General features: G+C 37.8%; 1 protein-coding gene across 10 annotated transcripts in view; it reads right to left on the minus strand.

The window, feature by feature from the left end:
• The window catches only part of HELZ (helicase with zinc finger), a 175,546-nt gene that overhangs the window by 86,338 nt on the left and 69,635 nt on the right, over window positions 1-19,573 (minus strand). For 3 of the 10 annotated variants that reach the window (XM_011525544.2, XM_006722214.5, XM_047437226.1), the window contains 5 exons: window positions 16,222-16,302; window positions 10,682-11,015; window positions 9,697-9,827; window positions 4,116-4,295; window positions 3,480-3,584 (listed from right to left, as the gene is read on the minus strand). In XM_011525544.2, coding sequence (XP_011523846.1) covers window positions 3,480-3,584; window positions 4,116-4,295; window positions 9,697-9,827; window positions 10,682-11,015; window positions 16,222-16,302 — 831 coding nt within the window. The remainder of the gene's footprint in view (window positions 1-3,479; window positions 3,585-4,115; window positions 4,296-9,696; window positions 9,828-10,681; window positions 11,016-16,221; window positions 16,303-19,573) is intronic. The other 7 variants (XR_001752712.3, XM_047437224.1, NM_001330447.2 and 4 more) reach the window with 3 other exon arrangements.

Consider the following 19,573-nt stretch of genomic DNA (forward strand, 5'->3'; position numbering starts at 1 on the left):
AATTAATATTTCATTGTAAAATTGAAAAAAAAAAAGTGGTTTTTCAAATTACTCATTTATATAGTATGGATATTTGTTCCCATCAAAATCTCACGTTGAAATGTAATCCCCAGTGTTGGAGGTAGGGCCCAGTGGGAGGTGTCTGAATCATGGCGGCAGATCCCTCATGAAGGGCTTGGGCCATCCCCTTGATGATAAGTAAGCTTTTGCTCTGAAATCTGGTCTTAAAAGTGTGTGGCACCTCCCACACGTACACTCACTCTCACTTGCTCCTGATTTCACCATGTGACATCCTGCTCCCCCTTCGCCTTCCACCACGATTGTAGCTTCCTGAGGCCTCCCTAGAAGCTGAGCAGATGCCAGCACCATGCTTTCTATAAAGCCTGCAGAACCATGAGCCAATTAAACCTCTTTTCTTTATAAATTATCCAGTCTCAGGTATTTCTTTATAGCAATGCAAGAACGGCCTAATACACTCATCAACTAACTCCAAGCACCTGCTTCTTCCTCAAAGAGGGGGGAAAAAAAGAAAGAAACTGAAGTTCTAAGTCTCACTGCTGACGTTTTCACAATTACCTTGGAAAGCTACCTCAAGTTGAAGCTAGTAAGAATACAAAGCTTGATCGCTGAGCCAATTTTCTTGAAAGCATAATATTCTAGTCCCAACTTTTAAAAGATTTTAAAATATTCTCTGTACTTTCATTTTGTGCAACATTTAAGTTAGACACTGTCTAAAAGATTATTTAAAACACAGCCAACATTTTTTTAAAATTGGAGAATTGACGGTAACAAGACAGTTTCAAGTTCACAGTATAAAATATAAGTAATACCAATTAAGGAATTTACATATTTTCCAGAAAGAAACCAATCCACATATCCCACACGAATTATAAGAGAGAGTCTGGTAATATATAATTTTAATTCACTGAAATTTTATTCCTGTAGTAAATTTATATGCAACAAATAACCCCCAAAATGTTATTACTTAAAAGACTATGAATAAGAATGACCTGATCACAGAAGAATATGCTTCTTTGAAGATCAATATAAAACAACAATTACCTTCCATTTTCCCAGAAAGCAGGAAATACACCCCTCCATAGATGACCTCTATCTGCAAAGCCATAAATCTGCCAGAACCAGATACTGATCTTGAGAACCACACACAAAAATATTTTCCCCTCTATTCCATTTTAAAATCTTCTAGTTCTAGTGAAGAAGTAAAAACTGAAACTAAACATGATCTAAAATGGTTTCTAAAATCTCCATCTCCAAATATTTTAAGTTCAGCTCAACTCCTGGCAACTAAAAGAATTTTACAAATTTTAACCATGAAGTATGTATATTTAAGCACATTTACAACTGTATTCACTATGTAATGTTTTGACTATTTTCACACTATAGCACTTTCCAGGGCCTGTTCCAGCCTATATCATGAAGAGAGCAAACTCTTCATGAGCCTTGCTCCCTAGAGACACCCATCTTCATGGTCATGAGCAGACACTTAGTGCCCTCTTGTGTTCTTTCCTCTGCATCCTGGGACAATTCAGATAAAGCTAATCTTCCCAGAGCACTCAGTCATTCTAATCTTCTCTATTCCATTTCACATGCCTCCCATGTTTGTTGTCTATTAGAAAAATTATAAATTAATGAGTTAATGTAATAATAGTGCTAATAAATCTGAACTCAATGCATGAATATTCTTAAGAAATACATTTGCAAGTTAACACCTTTCCCAAAGAGAAAAACTATGGCAAAAATGCAGGACTACATAAAGAAAATATTTGGGAAGTCAGGCTTTTTCTTACTTTATTCCATTTACTAAATGAAATCACATGAAATTTGCATTTGAATATATTTATAAATGTTTTTCCATCTTGGGCTGAACCACTTTCGAGACTTACAGACAGGTGTAAGTCTCTCTGTAAGTTAAAGGGCGAGTCTCGATACTTGGGCCACAACAACTATACATGTACCCTACTGAACATAACTTCTTATTCTGCATATCTAGATGCACCACATGTTTGATTATAACCTCCAAAAAATAATTTTACATGGAAAAAGCTAAATATAAGCTAGTCGAGTGACGGATTTAGTGTTCATCAGCAACAGCTCTACAGCCCCAAGTGTCAAATGACCTATGCTAAGTCGACCGAGATTTGAGGGGGCTTTACTCCACTGTTTTCACACCAAGTACACCACGATAACTGAGAAGGTCACACTTCCTATGTAACACACACATGCTCACTCTACCAACAATATAAGTGAACAAAACAACTTATATCATTAAAGTAAGAACACCTATAGCAAAAATGCTAACTACTCAACTTTCACTTACAAGCTCAGAGATTAGATTCTGAAGCAAACTATTTATTGATGAATGCATCCTTCAATAAATACCATGTTTTCATTTACAGTGATAGTGATTGTATATATGTAATATTTTCTCATTAAATACAACCAGATTCTATTTAAAATAATTACTGCTTCTTAATCTTCCAAAGTAAAAATAAAATATGGCATAAAAACCCGTGTTAATGGGTCACACCACTTTTTTCCTCTTTTGTTTTTTTAATGGAACTCTAAGATCATTCAAACAGCTTTGGTTATGATTACTGAAGAATTAAATAACATAATTTCATTTTTCCATGCTTGAGCTCAAGTAGAAATAAAACGTTAGTGACTTATGATTCAAAAGTGCAGTTAGAAATTAATTTATAAACAATTGTATTCAAACAACCTAGGGCATGACATATTAGTTTGTAAAATGGCAAAACTAAACATTAATTCATATAACAATGAAAGCAAATGGTATAATAAATAACAATTTGATGATTCTTTATTGTTTTCTGAAGAAAAGGATTTTTATTCCCCCATATCCTATATTTAAGTACATTTCATGTCCATATATACTCAGAGGACCTTTCTATATCAACCTTAAATTTTCTTTGACACTTTGTCTCTTAAATGGTAGCAAAAGTTGTTAAATACCAGTCAAGTACATTTTGTTGCAGAAATCATTTCAGTATTTCATGTTTATCTAATGTGTAGCTTCTATGAAATTACCTGCATGATCACAGCCAAAATTTTATTTTCATAAAGAACTGTCCACTGCATGACTAATCTGCCATGCAAAATATGTTAGAATTTTTACTGAACTAGATTTAATTTAAGTTATCATATTTATATTATTTCATCATACTAGCTTTTAGAGGTACATATCAAAATCTACTCAGGTTGAAACAATACACACAAAACTTAAAAAAGGATGTCTTTCTCTTACTTAATGTTTAAGAAATGAATAGTCAAAGATTTTTACATTTTTCCTTAATTTAAACAGTTTCTTCAAAAGACATAACCTCTAAATGTCAATGCATAAAGACTTTGGTATTTCCAAAGTTACTAAAATCTTTACAGACACCTTTTCTTAAGAATAATAAAGTATGATACAGATACATAATAAGCCTTAAAAAAAATACCTGAGAGGTCTTGCCTGGGGATTGCCTGCTTCTACATATGGATGTAAATAATCCTTTATGTAGAGATCAGCAGCACTATTAGAATGGGTGCAAATGAGAATCCTGCTGAAATAAATGGTGCAAATAAAAAGAATGATAAAACACAAAACTATTCAAGCAGTATAATACCAAAAAAAAAAGCAGTGGCCATCCTAATATTATACAATTCCCTTACCCTACTCAGTAATCCCTAGCATTATTCAGTGATACCTTTAGGAAATTACACTACTCTTTAAGTTAAAAAGGAAGTACCCCAAAATTATTTTTAAGTCTATCATATAAAATATACACATATATTTAAACCCAAGTCTTCTGGCTCTAATAGATACCACAATTCCATAGCAAACTTGTTCTGATGGCTATTTAAAAACTATTTTAAAACTTACTGTCTATACTACCAATTCTAAAAACAGTATGTTTTAAGAGAATTCAAATTTTTAGTGCTCTGGGGTTTGGATTTACGGCTTTTCCTTTTCTCTTTTTTTCATGTTTAAGAGCTGCATGAAAACTGTCTTGCTAGCCCTCATTGTGTATTTAAAACAAGAACAGAGGTAGTATCCTACCAGGGAAATATGAGCACGCTTCCCACCCTCTCACCTAGTCTCCTGTTGCTGCAGAATATGTTTGACAGCCTGAGCTAGAGTGAACGTTTTGCCTGTCCCATAGGGTCCGATGATAAGCACAGGCGGCAGCTGGATTGCAAGTGGAGTGGTAATGGCCAGAACAGCCTCTTTCTGTTTTGCATTTAGTCGAGGATCCAACTGTTCATCCCATTGTCTATGGAAAATAAAAATTTATGTTAAACACATGCATCTCGTTAATAAATAGAACATAACACACGAGTATCGTGAATTTCAGTGAACCATTAAAACCACTGAAATAGCATAGCATCTATAAAAACAAATGCTTATTCTAAAGCTACTTTTTATAAAGTTACCCAACAGAGTCAGTGTAGAGTGTTTTAACGTGTAAATCAAAATTAATTTTATCTTGTCCTACACTACGTACAAAAAGATTTTGGTAACTAATCTAAGGAAATCACATACTTCGAATCTAGCTGCTGCCAGGTCTTTAAGTAGAAATGGCAATGTTTCAAAAATGTAATTTCCCTCTGTTACAAAAAAGCATCAGAAAACTTTTTACTGATATTAATTAAGTAGTAGGTTTTTTTGCATAACAAATGAAATGCAATAGGGAAACTATCTGAATTTCAAATTCTAATTATTTAAAAGATCTGTTGGTAAGGTTTAAAACAAGAGGAAAAGAACAAATCTGTATGTCCCTGGTTAAGAGATCCTAATTTTTACAAAGATCTTAATGTAGAAAATATTAAGTTTTTTAAAAAGGCATAAAAAGCCAAACAAAATAAAATGTTTTTTAATATTTTTGCACACACACACAAATAATACACATATTATATTGGTCAAAGTAGAGAACACCTGTCACAGTCGCACAGATGGCTACTGTAATGAGATCTATCTTACTAGTGTCCCTTCTATGACTTGGCTAAGTTTTGAAGATTTAAATGGACAGCAGATACTGAAACACATCAAACTGAGTGGAGAATCAACAGCATTCTTTCTCACAACTACCGTTAAAATACTATACGTCACAACAACTATGGTAAAAATGAGAGGGATGTGAATCAAAATAGTAAGGGTGTGTAAAGAAACTCTTAGAAAATTTAAAATAAAAGTGCCTGCAAAATAACCCTCAAATAGAGGACAGAGTTTAGACAGGAAAATTCTCTCTGTGAGGCTATATTGTACTTAAATCAGAAGGTGGTTATTTTTGAAAAATCTTAACGCTTTCAGTTTTCAAGAAATTATAACCTGGCCAGGCATGGTGGCTCATGCCTATAATCCCAGCATTTTGGGAGGCCAAGGTAGGAGCGTCATCTGAGACCAGCAGTTCAAGACCACCCTGAGCAACACAGCAAGACCCTATCTCTACAATATATATATAACTGTTATATTATGACATATAATCTCAAACCAACAAAATTCTCCTTAAAAAATGTAAAACCTTAGAAAACAAACTTTGACCATGTAATCATGCCAATATTTTTTCTGAAATTTGCCATTTGCTAAATCTCAAACATTTTATTTCAGAGTCCCTCAGCATTAACCGGCTTATTTATTCATAATTCTGCCAGTATCCAGCAATTTTCCATCTTCTATAAATGAAAAAACTGCTTCAGGTGATGGCTAAGTCCAGATCTAATGTATGTAGCATTAGATGAAATGGTTACCCTAAAACCATCCGAGGAGCCTTCTCCCCTGCCTTACTCTACTGTTGAGCCTAGCCAGCTCTAATGCTCCATCTCCCAGCCTCCTTTGCTACAGACCCAATTCTGATCAATTAGATGCAGGAAGAAGTCCTGAGAAGGACTTCTATACCCAATAAAATAAAAGCAAAGCCTTGCTTATTGTTAATTTTTTTTTTTTTTTTAACTAAAGAAAGGCCTTCTTGCTCTTCACTTCCTTCCACAGCTGACCAGGAAAAGTAAATAAACTACAGCAGCCATCTTATATTTTGCATGAGGCAAAACACATCAGGAAGAAAATGAACATGCCCTACATAGTAGAGGAGGGTGAGGTGTCTGTCCATGATGGCCCTGCAGAGCTCCTGCACAGCCCTGGACCACATATCTCTAGGCTGATAACTCCACCTTTTAAAGCCACAATCAGTTCAGTAAACTGCTACTTCAATCTATACCTGACCACTGTGATTCTATGATACCTGCCCCCAATGGTTCCTTTATCTGTGCATGAAGATAATGACATTTGCATCAGATGGTTATTTTAAAGATCAAGTGAGATAATACATGTAAAGCTGTTTAGAAAAATAATTGAGCAACAAAAGCTCAATTAAGGTTAGCTTGTTACTACAATATTTTATAGAGATTACAGAAAAATGAGATATTACTTGACTAGTACATGCTTTCAAAGCAAAAAGTTCTTAAAACATCCTTTCATCTTTCAAATCTGAGGACTTTAATGAACTTAAGAATGAGACAGATATCATGATAAACATTTATAGAAAGCCAATGAGTGGAACAACTTGTATTTATTTATCAAATTCTTAGAGACCCAACTTAGTATCTTTTTCTTTTTTGAGACAGAGTCTCGCTCTGTCGCCCAGGCTGGAGTGCAGTGGCGCGATCTCGGTTCACTGCAAGCTCTGCCTCCAGGGTTCACGCCATTCTCCTGCCTCAGCCTCCCGAGTAGCTGGGACTACAGGTGCCCACCACCACGCTCGGCTAATTTTTTTTTTGTATTTTTAGTAGAGATGGGGCTTCACCATGTTAGCCAGGATGGTCTCGATCTCCTGACCTCGTGATCCACCCACCTCGGCCTCCCAAAGTGCTGGGATTACAGGCGTGACCCACCGCACCCAACCTATTTATTTCTTTATGTATAGAGATGGGGTCTATGTTGCTGAGGCTGGACTCTAACTCCTGAACTTAAGCAATCCTCCCACCTCGGCCTCCCCAAGTGCTGGGATTACAGGTGTGAGCCCATTACCATTACAACTAATAGTTTCTCAGTATGTTCCTAGACCCAGATACCTTTTAATTGCTATTTAAATTACAGTGGTATAAAAATCTTTTCCTGCTTGAAAGTTTGCTTACTTTTGCAGTTAAAACTTACAGTCAGTAGTATTTAAATATACTACATCATATACAATGTAATTTTCAGAAGTGAGCATATCAAGAAAAATGCCTAAAAGCTTACTGGTATGGCCTTACAATTGAAACTTTTCTTCTTTAAACTCGAAATTCTTATGAACTTAAATGTGCCGAATATGAATAATATGTAAAACCCTGTTGGTATTCAAAGAAAAATAAGACGCAGTCTCTTCCTGTACAAAGCTCAGAGTTTACCCAGAAAAACTGTCTAGAAATGTTCACGAATTAATTGATAAACTGAGAGAAATTATGCTTGAAAACACAAAACTGAGCCTAGCGCATGTCAGGCACTCAATAAATAGTTGTTAAAATATTGACATGGAAGGGTCAGGTTCATCTGCTTGAGGAAGAGAGCATATGAGCTGGACTCAATCTTAAAGGATAGAGAGATCTTCAGTGAATTAACATTGGGCAAAGATTATATGAGAGACAGAAAATCACTTAAAGAGGAGGCAAGGCTGCAGGAAGGGGGAAATGAGTTGTCCGATGGGTGTATAGTATCAGTTCTGCAAGACGAAAAAGTTCTGGAGATTGCACAACAGTGTGACTATATTTAACACTATGGAATTGTACACTTAAAATGGTAAAGAGGGTACATTTATGTTATGTGGATTTTACCACAATTAAAAACTTTTTAAAAAGAATAACATAAAGATAAGGAGGCAAATAAGTACAGGGCAAATTAAACAAACTTCAAGGTAATTCAACATTGCTAAAACATGAGAGTTTAGAGGGAGAAAAGGAGTGTCAAGTAGAAAAAAGTAGAAGAAATCTGAAAGGATACTGCTGGAAAGCACAGTCAACGAGGCCATACACAGGCGCTTTGGCTTAGACTGCTCACCCTTTATCTACATATCAAGGAGAAGCCATCAGATTTGTGAGCAGTGAAATGACATGATTATTTTAGAAAACTAACTCTGGGAGAAATATTTGTGATGAGCCAGAAAACAGGGCCACAGACAACAGGACAAAAGGCCAACTAGAAAGCTACTGAAATAGTCCGGGTCTAAAAGCAGCACTGGCTCTGAGAATGAAAAGAAAAGGAAGCATGAAGAGGAGCTGAATCCGAAGAGAACTGGGAGATGTCACTGGATTTTTACAATCAGTAGATCACCAATCACTTTCAGGATAGTACACAAGAGGAAAACAGAGGTTACAGAGTGAATAAGAAAGAATACTGGAAACACGCAGACTATTCCCTCTCAAGAATTTTGGCACTAAAAAGAACAGAGGGGACTGCACAGTAAGAGTAAGCAAAACAAGGGAGAAATGACTGAGGTTTTGTGTTGTAACGCATATTTCGTGTTGTTCTGTTTTTAGGACCAGAAGAAATGGAATGTGAGGGGAAGTGATATATACCACTCCTAGGCCTGGCCCATAAAAGCTTCCCACGTGACCCTCCGTGCTCACTCTTCCCCTGTCGGCCAGCTGAACGTCAACACCCAGGGTGACCCTGGAAACCACTTACTAAAGATCCCAGAGGCTCCATTAGTCTTGGAAAGGGCCATCCTACCATGATTGAATTGACACAGTGATAAATAAACTTCTATTTTGTAGAGCCACTGAGATTAAAAAAGAAACAAAGGTGTTGTGAGTTGAGCATGGGCAGGTGCTAAGGGCATAAAACCCAGTGAAGAGATGAAAAGACAGATGCAGGCATACAGCTCTCACTGTCATCCATGCTTATAACAAAATGGAAGTACCTTCTTCATTACATGTAAAGACATCCCAAAAAAATTTAAGCAGAACAATATTTATACGACCATTAACTGGAGAGCAGTTTCTGAAGTAGTTTCTTCTATCGTACTTCATCCATTTTGATAATTTCTAAAAATCTCTCCTATCTTTAAAAATTATTTTAAATTAGGACATGTGTAGTAGCTCACATCCCAGAACTCTGGCAAGATAAGGCAGGAAGGTCTCTTGAGGCCAGGATTTCGAGACCAGCATGGACAAGACAGCAAGAACCTTGTCTACAAAAAAAAATTTTTTTTAATCAGCCAGACACAGTGGCATGTGTCTATAATCCTAGCTACTCAGAGGCTGAGGCAGGAGAGTTGCTTGAGCCCGGGAGTTCAAGGCTGTAATGAGCAATGATCATGCCACTACACTTCAGCCTGCATGACAGAGCAAGACCCCAACTCTAAATAAATAAATAAAAATTATTTTAAATTAACTACTGGAACCACTTTAGAAAGGCCCTAATTTCCCCATTCAACTTCTACTTGGAAATATTCCTAAATTGCTTGGCATCCTATCAAATTAAGGCTGTTGAGAAAAGCAGTAGAATTCATTTAGACTCTGAGAAAAAGTAATGATGAACCTCAAATGTTTCATTTTAAGTGTTCTTTTACTCTCCTTTCTAAACCAATATCTCCTGAAAAGCAAAGGCAAACTTTCTTATAAAAGTATGCTTGAGTTATTTGATACAGATATTCAATTTAATATTAACCTAACTTCCTTTAATAAGATATCGCCTTTTTGTACCTGTTAGGACTCCATGGTATGGTGGGAGTCATACTGATGTCTGGAAACAAAACCCCATTGTCCTTGATCCTGTCTAGTGCATAGTGCATTTCACAGAGGGGTAATCGATTTAATTGAAACTGAAGTTCAACCTGAAAGACAAAATGAATGTTTTAAAAACTGCATGAAAGCAAACATCAATGCTGGCAGCTCACTAGAATACTTTGGGAGGAATCTGTTTGGGACAGTAAGTTTAGAGATTCTTTTAAAGTATAATCATAGTCTAATCATAATTATGATGAATAATATTTGCTTTGTTCATTTATAACCAGGCACTGTAACAAGTACTTTACTATGGATTATCTCATTTAATAGTACCAATGATATATATATACTATTATTAACATCATTTTACATATTAAGAAATTGACATATTTGTAAGTTACCTAATCTCTAGTTAAAGGCTACTTTATTCTACCATTCCCATGAAAATACTTTTGCAAAAGATCAGAACATGTGAAGTATCCAGTCGTGAGAGATGATTAGCCCTGATACTCTATCAATTTACAATTAATAAATAATGTTCACCAAGTTTTATGTTTAAAAAGAGAAAAGATTAGTCTTCCAGTTAAATATGGCAGACTGAAGACATAATTCACCTAAAAACCCATAAAGATAGAACAGGAACAGATACAACTGCAGATGAGAGATGTCCCAGGAGGTAGCTTACATAGTTTCTTTTCATCTTTTCTTCCATTGCTGATTTAAAACTCTAATCAGAAAGCTCAACCTTGTATAACACTGGAACATTCTAAATGTTACTTATATTTAAAAGAATCACTTTTCTCTGGGAGTTACTACAGGTGCAATTTTCAACCCACCACTGTAGACTTCAAAGTCAGCTTTGCTTTTGTTTACGGCAGAAGAAAAACTAAACCAGAGGAAGACTACGAGCTGATAATGAGGCTACAGACCACTATGGTTAAGCTGCAACCTTCAAACATACCTGTGTGTCACAGTCAGGCCGAAGATTAAGTTCTTCACAGCATTCCCTAGATAGCCTTAAAAATATATATTCCTTTGTTTTTTCTTCAATAGTAGCTTCATAAACCTTCTCTTTGGTTCCCTGGGTCTGTACTAACTTCTGTTTAGGGACTGGTAATAAATAAACAGCATTGACTTTGGTCATCACCAGTCGTCCAGCCAAAGTATCTTCAGAAAGTGTTTCAGTAAGCTTAAAGCGACCAAAAAGTTGTCCATTCTGAGCATACTTTGCACCTCCAGAAACACCAGTGAGCATGAAGCTTGCCAGAATCTGCAATTGCACTTTAAGGTTGAACCTAAACCAGAAGTAGAAAACTAGTTTGAATATTTTACATCAAAAATATATAAAAACTAGAAGAGTGAAACAAAGTAAATCAAATATAAACATACCAAAAATTAAACCATTATATCAATTCCACTTCATTGAGCTAAAAACTGTATTTTTCTGCCTTTAATACAAGCTGGAAACAACAAAAAAAAATTTTTTTTTTTGTTTTTTTGAGACGGAGTCTCACTCTGTCGCCTAGGCTGGAGTACAGTGGCACGATCTTGGCTCACTGCTACCTCTGCCTCCCAGGTTCAAGAATTCTCCTGCCTCAGCCTCCCGAGTAGCTGGGATTACAGATGCCCACCACGCCCGGCTAATTTTTGTATTTTTAGTAGAGACAGAGTTTTGACATGTTGGCCAGGCTGGTCTCAAGCTCTTGATCTCAGGTGATCCACCCACCTCTGCCTCCCAAAGTGCTGCGATTACAGATGTGAGCCACCATGCCTGGTCAACAAAACTTTTTTTTAAGTGAATAAACTCCCATGTAAGTTACATAAAGATACAAGCTAAGTTGTGTTGAAGAATATGCACATTCAAAAAACACCTGAGTATTTAAAATGAAACTAAATGTTGTTTTTTAAGTAACATGAAATATTATATACTAATTAATATAAAAGTCTGAACACACCACTGGGACAATAAAGACTTTAAAATCACCTGGAACCAGAAGGAAACACATTGCATTGAAAATTACAATGGACTTTAAACCAATTACTTTCCAAGTAGATCTTACCAGCAGATTCTAGCCATAAAATATCTCTTTCAATAATGTTAATGAATAACATTTAAAATAAATTTTCATTCATGGCTACATGGAGGCAGGTCTCATGCAGGAATTATGGCAAGAGAAGTTAAGGCCTATCTTATCAGACAATGGTTGGTATACTCCCTCACACTTCCATGTGTGCACGTGAGTATGAGAGAGTATGTGTAAAGGCAGCACAGAGAATCAAGATTAATTTACACAGTCAAGAAATATGGAGCCGGACATGGTGGCTCACGCCTGTAATCCTAGCACTATGGGAGGCTAAGGCGGGCAGATCACCTGAGGGGGGCAGTTCAAGACCAGCCTGGCCAACATGGTGAAACCCTGCATCTACTAAAAATACAAAAATTAGCCAGGTGTGGTGGCAGGCACTTGTAATCCCAGCTACTCAGGAGGCTGAGGCAGGAAAATCACTTGAACCCAGGAGGTGGAGGTTGCAGTAAGCCAATTATCACATCACTGCACTCCAGCCTGGGCAACAGAGTGAGACTCTGTCCCCAAATTAAAAAAAAAGAAAGAGAAATATGAAGTGAAAGAAAGATGTAAACTAATTAACAGTTCTCCTTTGCTGTTCTGAAATGGTGCTGTAAGAGGTAAGACAACATGGTAAGAAATGGTGGCAACATTTTCTCCTTTTTCTTAGGTTTGTCTTAGTCTGTTTTGTGTTGCCGTAACAGAATACCTGAGACTGGATAATTTATAAAGAACAGAGATTTATTTCTTACAGCTCTGGAGAATAGAAAGTCTAAGATCAAGGGGCTGGCATATGGTGATGGTCTTCAGGCTGCATCATCCCATGGTGGAAGGCAGAAGGGCACGAAAGTGTGAGCAAAAGCAATGGCAAGAGAGGACTGAATTCACTCTTCTAACAGCCCACTCTCATGATAAGGAGCCCATTCCTGTATAATCACATTATCCACTCATGAGGGTGGAATCCTCATGGCCTAATCACCTTTTAAGAGTCCCACCTCTTAATACTGTCCCAATGGCAATTACATTTCAACATTAGTTTTGGAGGGGACATTCAAACTACAGCATTCTGCCCATAGCCTCCAAATGCATGTTCTTCTCACATACAGAATACATTCATTCCATCCCAATAGCCCCTAAAAGTTTTAACTCTTTCCAGGATCAACTCTAAAGTCCAAGTCCAGAGTGTGAACTAAATCAGATACGGATAAGACTCAAGGCACAATTCATCCTGATTCAAATTCCTCTCCAGTTGTGCCTGTGAAATTAACGAGTTACATGCTTCCAAAATACAATGGTGGGACAAGCACAGGATAAACATTCCCATTCCCAAAGGGAAAACTAGGCAAGAAGAAAGGAATAAGTGGTTCCAAGTAAGTCCAAAATCCAAAAGGGAAAACAACATTAAGTCTTAAAGCTGAAGAATAATCTCCTTTGCTTCCACATCCCACATCCTGACACACTGGAACAGCAGTTGGGCCCCCAAGGCCTCAGGCAGCCTGGCTTCTTTGGCTTTGCTGGGCTCAGTCCCCCAAGAAGCTCTCACAGATTGAAAGTCTTATATAGCTTTCCCAGACGAGAGCTGCATAATGCTGACCCTTCAGTTCTGGAGTCTCAGGATCTAGCCCACTCCCAGGGCTCCATTAAGCACTGTCCTAGTGGGGACTCTGCACAGTGGCTCTGCCTCTGCACCAAGTCTCCGCCTGGGCCCTCAGACTGTTCAATACATCCTTTGAAGTCTATGTGGAGTGACCATTCTGGCCAACCTGGTGAAACCCCGTCTCTACTAAAAATACAAAAATTAGCTGGGCGTGGTGGCACATGCCTGTAATCCCGGCTACTTGGGAGGCTGAGGCAAAAGAATTGCTTGAACCAGGAGGCGGAGGTTGCAGTGAGCTGAGATCGCGCCACTGCACTCCAGCCTGGGCAACAGAGCGAGATTCTGTCTCTAAACTAAATAAATAAATAAATAGAACAGGAGGCCAGGCATGGGGGCTCACACCTGTAATCCCAGCACTTTGGGAGGCCGAGGCGGGAAGATCACTTGAGGTCAGGAGTTCAAGACCAGCCTAGCCAACATGGTGAAACCCTGTCTCTACTAAAAACACAAAAATTACCTGGGCGTGATGGCCCGGCCTGTAGTCCATAGCTACAAGGGAGGCTGAGGAAGGAGAATCACTTAAACCCAGGAGGTAGAGGCTGCAATGACCTGAGATAGCGACACCGCACTCCAGCCTCAGTGACAGAGTGAGACTCCATCTCAAAAAAAAAAAAAAAGAGCAGGAACCCTTACTTATTTCATGCTTTCTCAAATGAAGTTAAAATTTTACTTTCCTTTTACTACCTATATAATATGCAGAGTTTAGGGGTCATTAAAACTTTCTCAGAGGGAGGAGATTACTTATAGTGCAAGAAATTCTTGATTCACAAAGAATCATAGCAAAAAGAATCTTTTTGCTAAGATGATGTACAGTTTTTTTTTTTTTTCACTATACAGTCAATGTCTTCTACCTTTGAACTCCCTCTTCCAAGGACTTCTGTATGGTAATACTCTCCTAGTTTTCTTCCTACCTCTCCTAGCTGCTCTCCATCTCCCATCTAAGCACCAACTATTTTCTATAAGCTCCAGCCTGCCTTCCTTCTACTCTGTAAGTTCTTGATAGGTCACCCTCTCCCAGATCTCCCAGCTCAGGGCTGTAAATCCAACTGTCAAATGGACACTTTTGATTACATGCCCTTTAAACTCAGTATATGCAAAACTGACTACCTGACCTCCCCAGTGTGACCCAACCCAATCTTCCCATGTATTAACAACTTAGAAAATGGCACTGTCATCCACGTAGGTATCCAAGCCAACCAAAAATCAAGTCATCCTTGACCCTGCCTCTCTTACCAACCTTCATTCACACATCACAGAATCACTGTGCCCTGTTACTTCCTCATAGCCCTGTTAGTTCCCCTCCTTCCTAATTCATCTGCATCCCAACATTTTTAACTTGGATTACTATAATAGACTTCTAACATGACTTCTTGTCTCAAATCTGTTCTCCACACCCCCATCAGAGGATCTCTGAAAAATGCAAATCTGGTAAGTAGCTTTCTATAGCTCTGAGGACAGAGTTTCTCTCTCATTTACCCTGTCCCCACCACACAAGCACCCTCCATTGCAACTATAATAATCAACTGGCAGCTCCCCAAAACTCTATGCTCTTATTCTCACATCCTGTTTCCTTTAACCAAATACTTTTGTCCTCCTTCTTTTGTTTTGTTTTGTTTTTTTTTTTGAGACGGAGTTTCACTCTTGATGCCCCAGCTGGAGTTCAATGGCCCCATCTTGGCTCACTGCTACCTCCACCTCCCGGGTTCAAGCGATTCTCCTGCTTCAGCCTCCCGAGTAGCTGGGATTACAGGTGCCCACCACCACACCAGGCTAATTTTTTGTATTTTTAGCAGAGACAGGGTTTCACCATGTTTGCCAGGCTGGTCTCGAACTCCTGAACTCAGGTGGTCCACCCACCTCGGCCTCCCAAAGTGCTGGGACTACAGGTGTGAGCCACCACACCCAGCCTTGTCTTACTTCTAAACCTGACAAATCTTACCTGTTTTTCAAAGTTCAACTTACATTCCATCTGCTTGAGAAAGCAGATGTGAGCCCCTCCTTGACTACCCTCCTTTTCTCCACTAAGATGAGAAAGTGCCTCTTCCATGGGGCCCTTGTGCATTCCTCCAGTGCAGTGCTGAGCACATTTTATTATAACCCTGTATTTATGAGTCTGCCTCCACTACTGGATTACAAACTTTTGGGGGACAAGGAAACATATTTTGCTTGCCTTAGAAATCAGCAGTGACTAGCATAGAACCTAACACCTTCAACATTCCATAAATTTTGTTCATTGAATTAATTTTATGTTTTTCTAATAATCTGATTTTTCCCAAGCACCATATTCCCACTTTAGCCACTTTATATTATTTCCTAACATATTCTTGAAATCCTGTCATATATTTCTCAACTATCTTGGGCCACATATATTTTTTAATAGTTTTTTGTTTTGTTTTGTTTTTTGAGACAGGGTCTCACTGTCACCCAGGCTGGAGTGCAGTAGCACAATCTTAGCTCACTGCAGCCTTGACCTCCTGAGCTCAAGCGATCCTCCCCTCAGCCTCCTGAGTAGCAGGGACCACAGGTGCACACCATCACGCCCAGCTAATTTTTGTATTTTTTGTAGAGATGGGGTCTCGCCATGTTGCCGAGGCTGGTCTCAAACTCCTGGGCTCAAAAGACCTGCCCACCTGGGCCTCCCGAAGTGCTAAGATTATAGGTGTGAGCCACTGCGCCCAGGCCTTAGGCCATATATTAAAGTTTCACTCATGTCTATTTGAGAATCACCATCCCAAAACACTTGATCACAATTTAGCAGGCATGAAAAGTTAATCTCACAGTTTAGAGCAACAAGAGAATCCTCTTGTGACATTGGTTGTGTCTTGCAACAAAATTCTTGAGGTAGAGGCACCAGAAGTGCTAAGAAATAAAATAAAATAAAAGTCCTAAGAAATGCAGCTTTTCCCACAGAAAATTCATCACATGTTCAAGATGCAGACATTATAGACTTTCTAGTAAAGGTTATAGCTATACTAATAATTAATTTGTATAAAAGATTAACAGGCTAAAACTAAAATTATGTTAGTAATCTTAAATATTAAAATATGTACTTTTTGAAATTTAGTAACTCAGAAATACCTAAACTAGAAAATATATCCTACAATTAAGAAAGATATTTCTTAATAAGAAGAAAAACCATCTTTCCATTGTTGCATGCTACATTTTAAAATCATCCTTAAAGTTTACATAATTCCCTAACCTTTTAGGGAATGACAGAATTACAGCCAACTGAACACTCAATAGACTGAAAAAGATACTTCCATGCTAATGAGAAATATGGCTCTATCAACCTTAGTAACAATTCCATCTCTTGAGTGCAACTTTCAAAAAATTTCAAACCTATATAGGGTTTTCATTTCATGTGATTTCTGACTATATGAACAATAAAAATCTAACAAAGTAATAAAACAATCCCTGAGTTTACTAAAGCAGAGCGACAGAACTGAGGTGTCACCAATAGAAGCAGCACCCATCTAATGATGAAATGTGCACCCCACACTAGACCTGTCACCAACAGAAGCAGCACCCATCTAACGATGAAATGTGCACCCCACACCCATCTAACGATGAAATGTGCACCCCACACTAGGCCTGTCACCAACAGAAGCAGCACCCATCTAACGATGAAATGTGCACCCCATACTAGGCCTGTCATGCCAGCTGTTAGCACTGAGAAGCCAGGCACAATGACCCAATGAGGCATGCACAGTTTAATGGACACAATAGCTTCAGCTAAAGCACATTTCCTTTGAAAATGTATCTCTTAAAATCAAACAGATTTCACTTCAAAGTAGAATCATTATTGAACACACACCAACATGTGACTGAGGATAAGAGAAGTAAAACAAATCTCAAAAGAAAAGCATTTTCTAAAACTTATATGAAATATAGTATTATCTTTATCACGTACACACATCTCACACTAAAACAACCTAAGAAGAAATTTCTGGACTGCTTTGAAAAAAATCATCCTTTAAAAAAAAAAAAAAAAAGATAGATTATTAAATCCAGTCTCAAACCAAAATGTATTTTATCTAATCTTGAGAGCCTTTTTTCAATCTACTTTCTAGGAAGAAATGCTAAAATGACCATGTAAAAGGCACAGTCTGATGGGATCTTGCTCTGTTGCCCAGGCTGGAACACAGTGGTGCAATCACAGCTCACTGCAGCCTCAAATTCATGGGTTCAAGTGATCCTCCTGCCTCAGTCTCTTGCAACCCTTACCATCAAAATGTAAGAAACTAGTATGAAGCCCCTTGATACTACTTTCGTGATTAGAAATATTCTGCTTTGGCCAGGCATGGTAGCTCGCGCCTGTAATCCCAGCACTTTGGTAGGCCGAGGCGGGCAGATCACCTGAGGTCAGGAGTTCAAGACCAGCCTGGCCAACATGGTGAAACCCCATCTCTACCAAAAATACAAAATTAGCTGGGCATGGTGACACTTGCCTGTAATCCCAGCTACTCAGAAGGCTGAGGCAGGAGAATCGCTTGAACCCAGGAGGCGGAGGTTCTGGTGAGCGAGACTGCACCATTGCACTCCAGCCTGGGCAACAAGAACGAAACTCCATTTAAAAGAAAAGAAAAGAAAAAAAGAAATATTCTGCTTAAACTGTCAAAGTTCACAGAGGACTCATACATTCTCGGGACCTTGGGAAATATCCTACTAATTGTGTGGCAGCAGATCTGACCACGATGTCACAAAGAGGCAAACTTCAATGTGTTCAGAACACACTTATTATTGTCAATACATGTCCAAGTCATTTAGAGAGATGAGTCTATATAAGCATACCATTGTCTCCTACCTTTAAATTGGGTCTCAAACCACAACAAAACATTCTTCATGATTCTAATGGTGATTTGGGTTTGCTCTGATGACTGGTATTGATTGAACAGACAAGCAAAATGGCCCAGTCACACACACTAGAGCACAGCCCAAAGATGTGCCCAAAGCCAACCTTCAAACTGTTTCCGTATAGCCCTTAACTGACAGTGGATTTTACAAAAACAAAAAAAGAAGAAGAAATGCAACCAGGCCTGTATGAAATTCTCAAAGCCTAAAATATTTATTATCTGACCCTTTACAGAAAAAGTTACTGAGCCCTGCACTACACCATAGCTTAGTAGCTGCATAGACACCTCCCCCAAAATTTTCAAAAATATATCTTAGTTATTTTATTTATAAAGAATTAACAATCAAATGTAAATTAAATTCAAGGCAACATTAAAATGCATATAAATATTAAGTTTAAAGAGTGAAGAAGAAAACAAAATACTCTTTTAAGCAACATATGAATGTCTGTCACAGACTTTTGAAAATCTTCACAATCTATGTTTACTTGCTTATAGATGCATTCTGAGAACTCTATCTAATTATTATAGGATCTGTTTCTTTGTATGTGTACCAATTCTGCACCACACTTCACTAACATTTATAGGCCTGCCAAATTCAGAAATTTAATTTACCAGCCTTCATATCCAGGGTTACCTTTAGGTGAGAGTATCACCAGAAATTCCAGAATTCTCTAGCACAGTAACTACTTGTCACATGTTAGGCAGGTCGCAATAAATTATCAGTTATATCTTGAAGATCCTTCAAAACTCTTGTGTAGTTGTGTACAGAACACATCAATACTGATCCAGCTGATTTACATTTTGTAAATATCCCTATTTGAGTCAATAAATATGATATAACTTTAAAGATTAAAAAAACAGAAAGCTCAGAAGTTCCTATAAAAACACTCTACACTATCTTACCACTGCCGTACCACAATCTCTTCTTTTCATACCTAAGGGCTTTTTTACACCATGAGCAGCAAGTGTTGCCACTAATGATGTACCAGTTTCCTTTAAATTTTTTTAATTATAGGAGGAATATATGGTCATTATGGAACATTTCAAAAGTAGAGAAAACTATTACAACATAAAAATCAGCTGTTAGTCTACCAACCAGAACATTTTGCTTTCATTCTTTCCAACATTTTTATACACAAATACATACACGTATGTGTATAGGCATCTATAAAAAATTAGAATGGCAATAAGGTATTATAACTAGCATATTTTCTTCCCTAATATTATATCATGAGCATCATCACTGCATTAAAAATTCTTCAAGAACATAATTTCAA

This window comes from Homo sapiens, chromosome 17 (genome assembly GCF_000001405.40).
Source record: "Homo sapiens chromosome 17, GRCh38.p14 Primary Assembly".
NCBI lineage: Eukaryota > Metazoa > Chordata > Mammalia > Primates > Hominidae > Homo > Homo sapiens.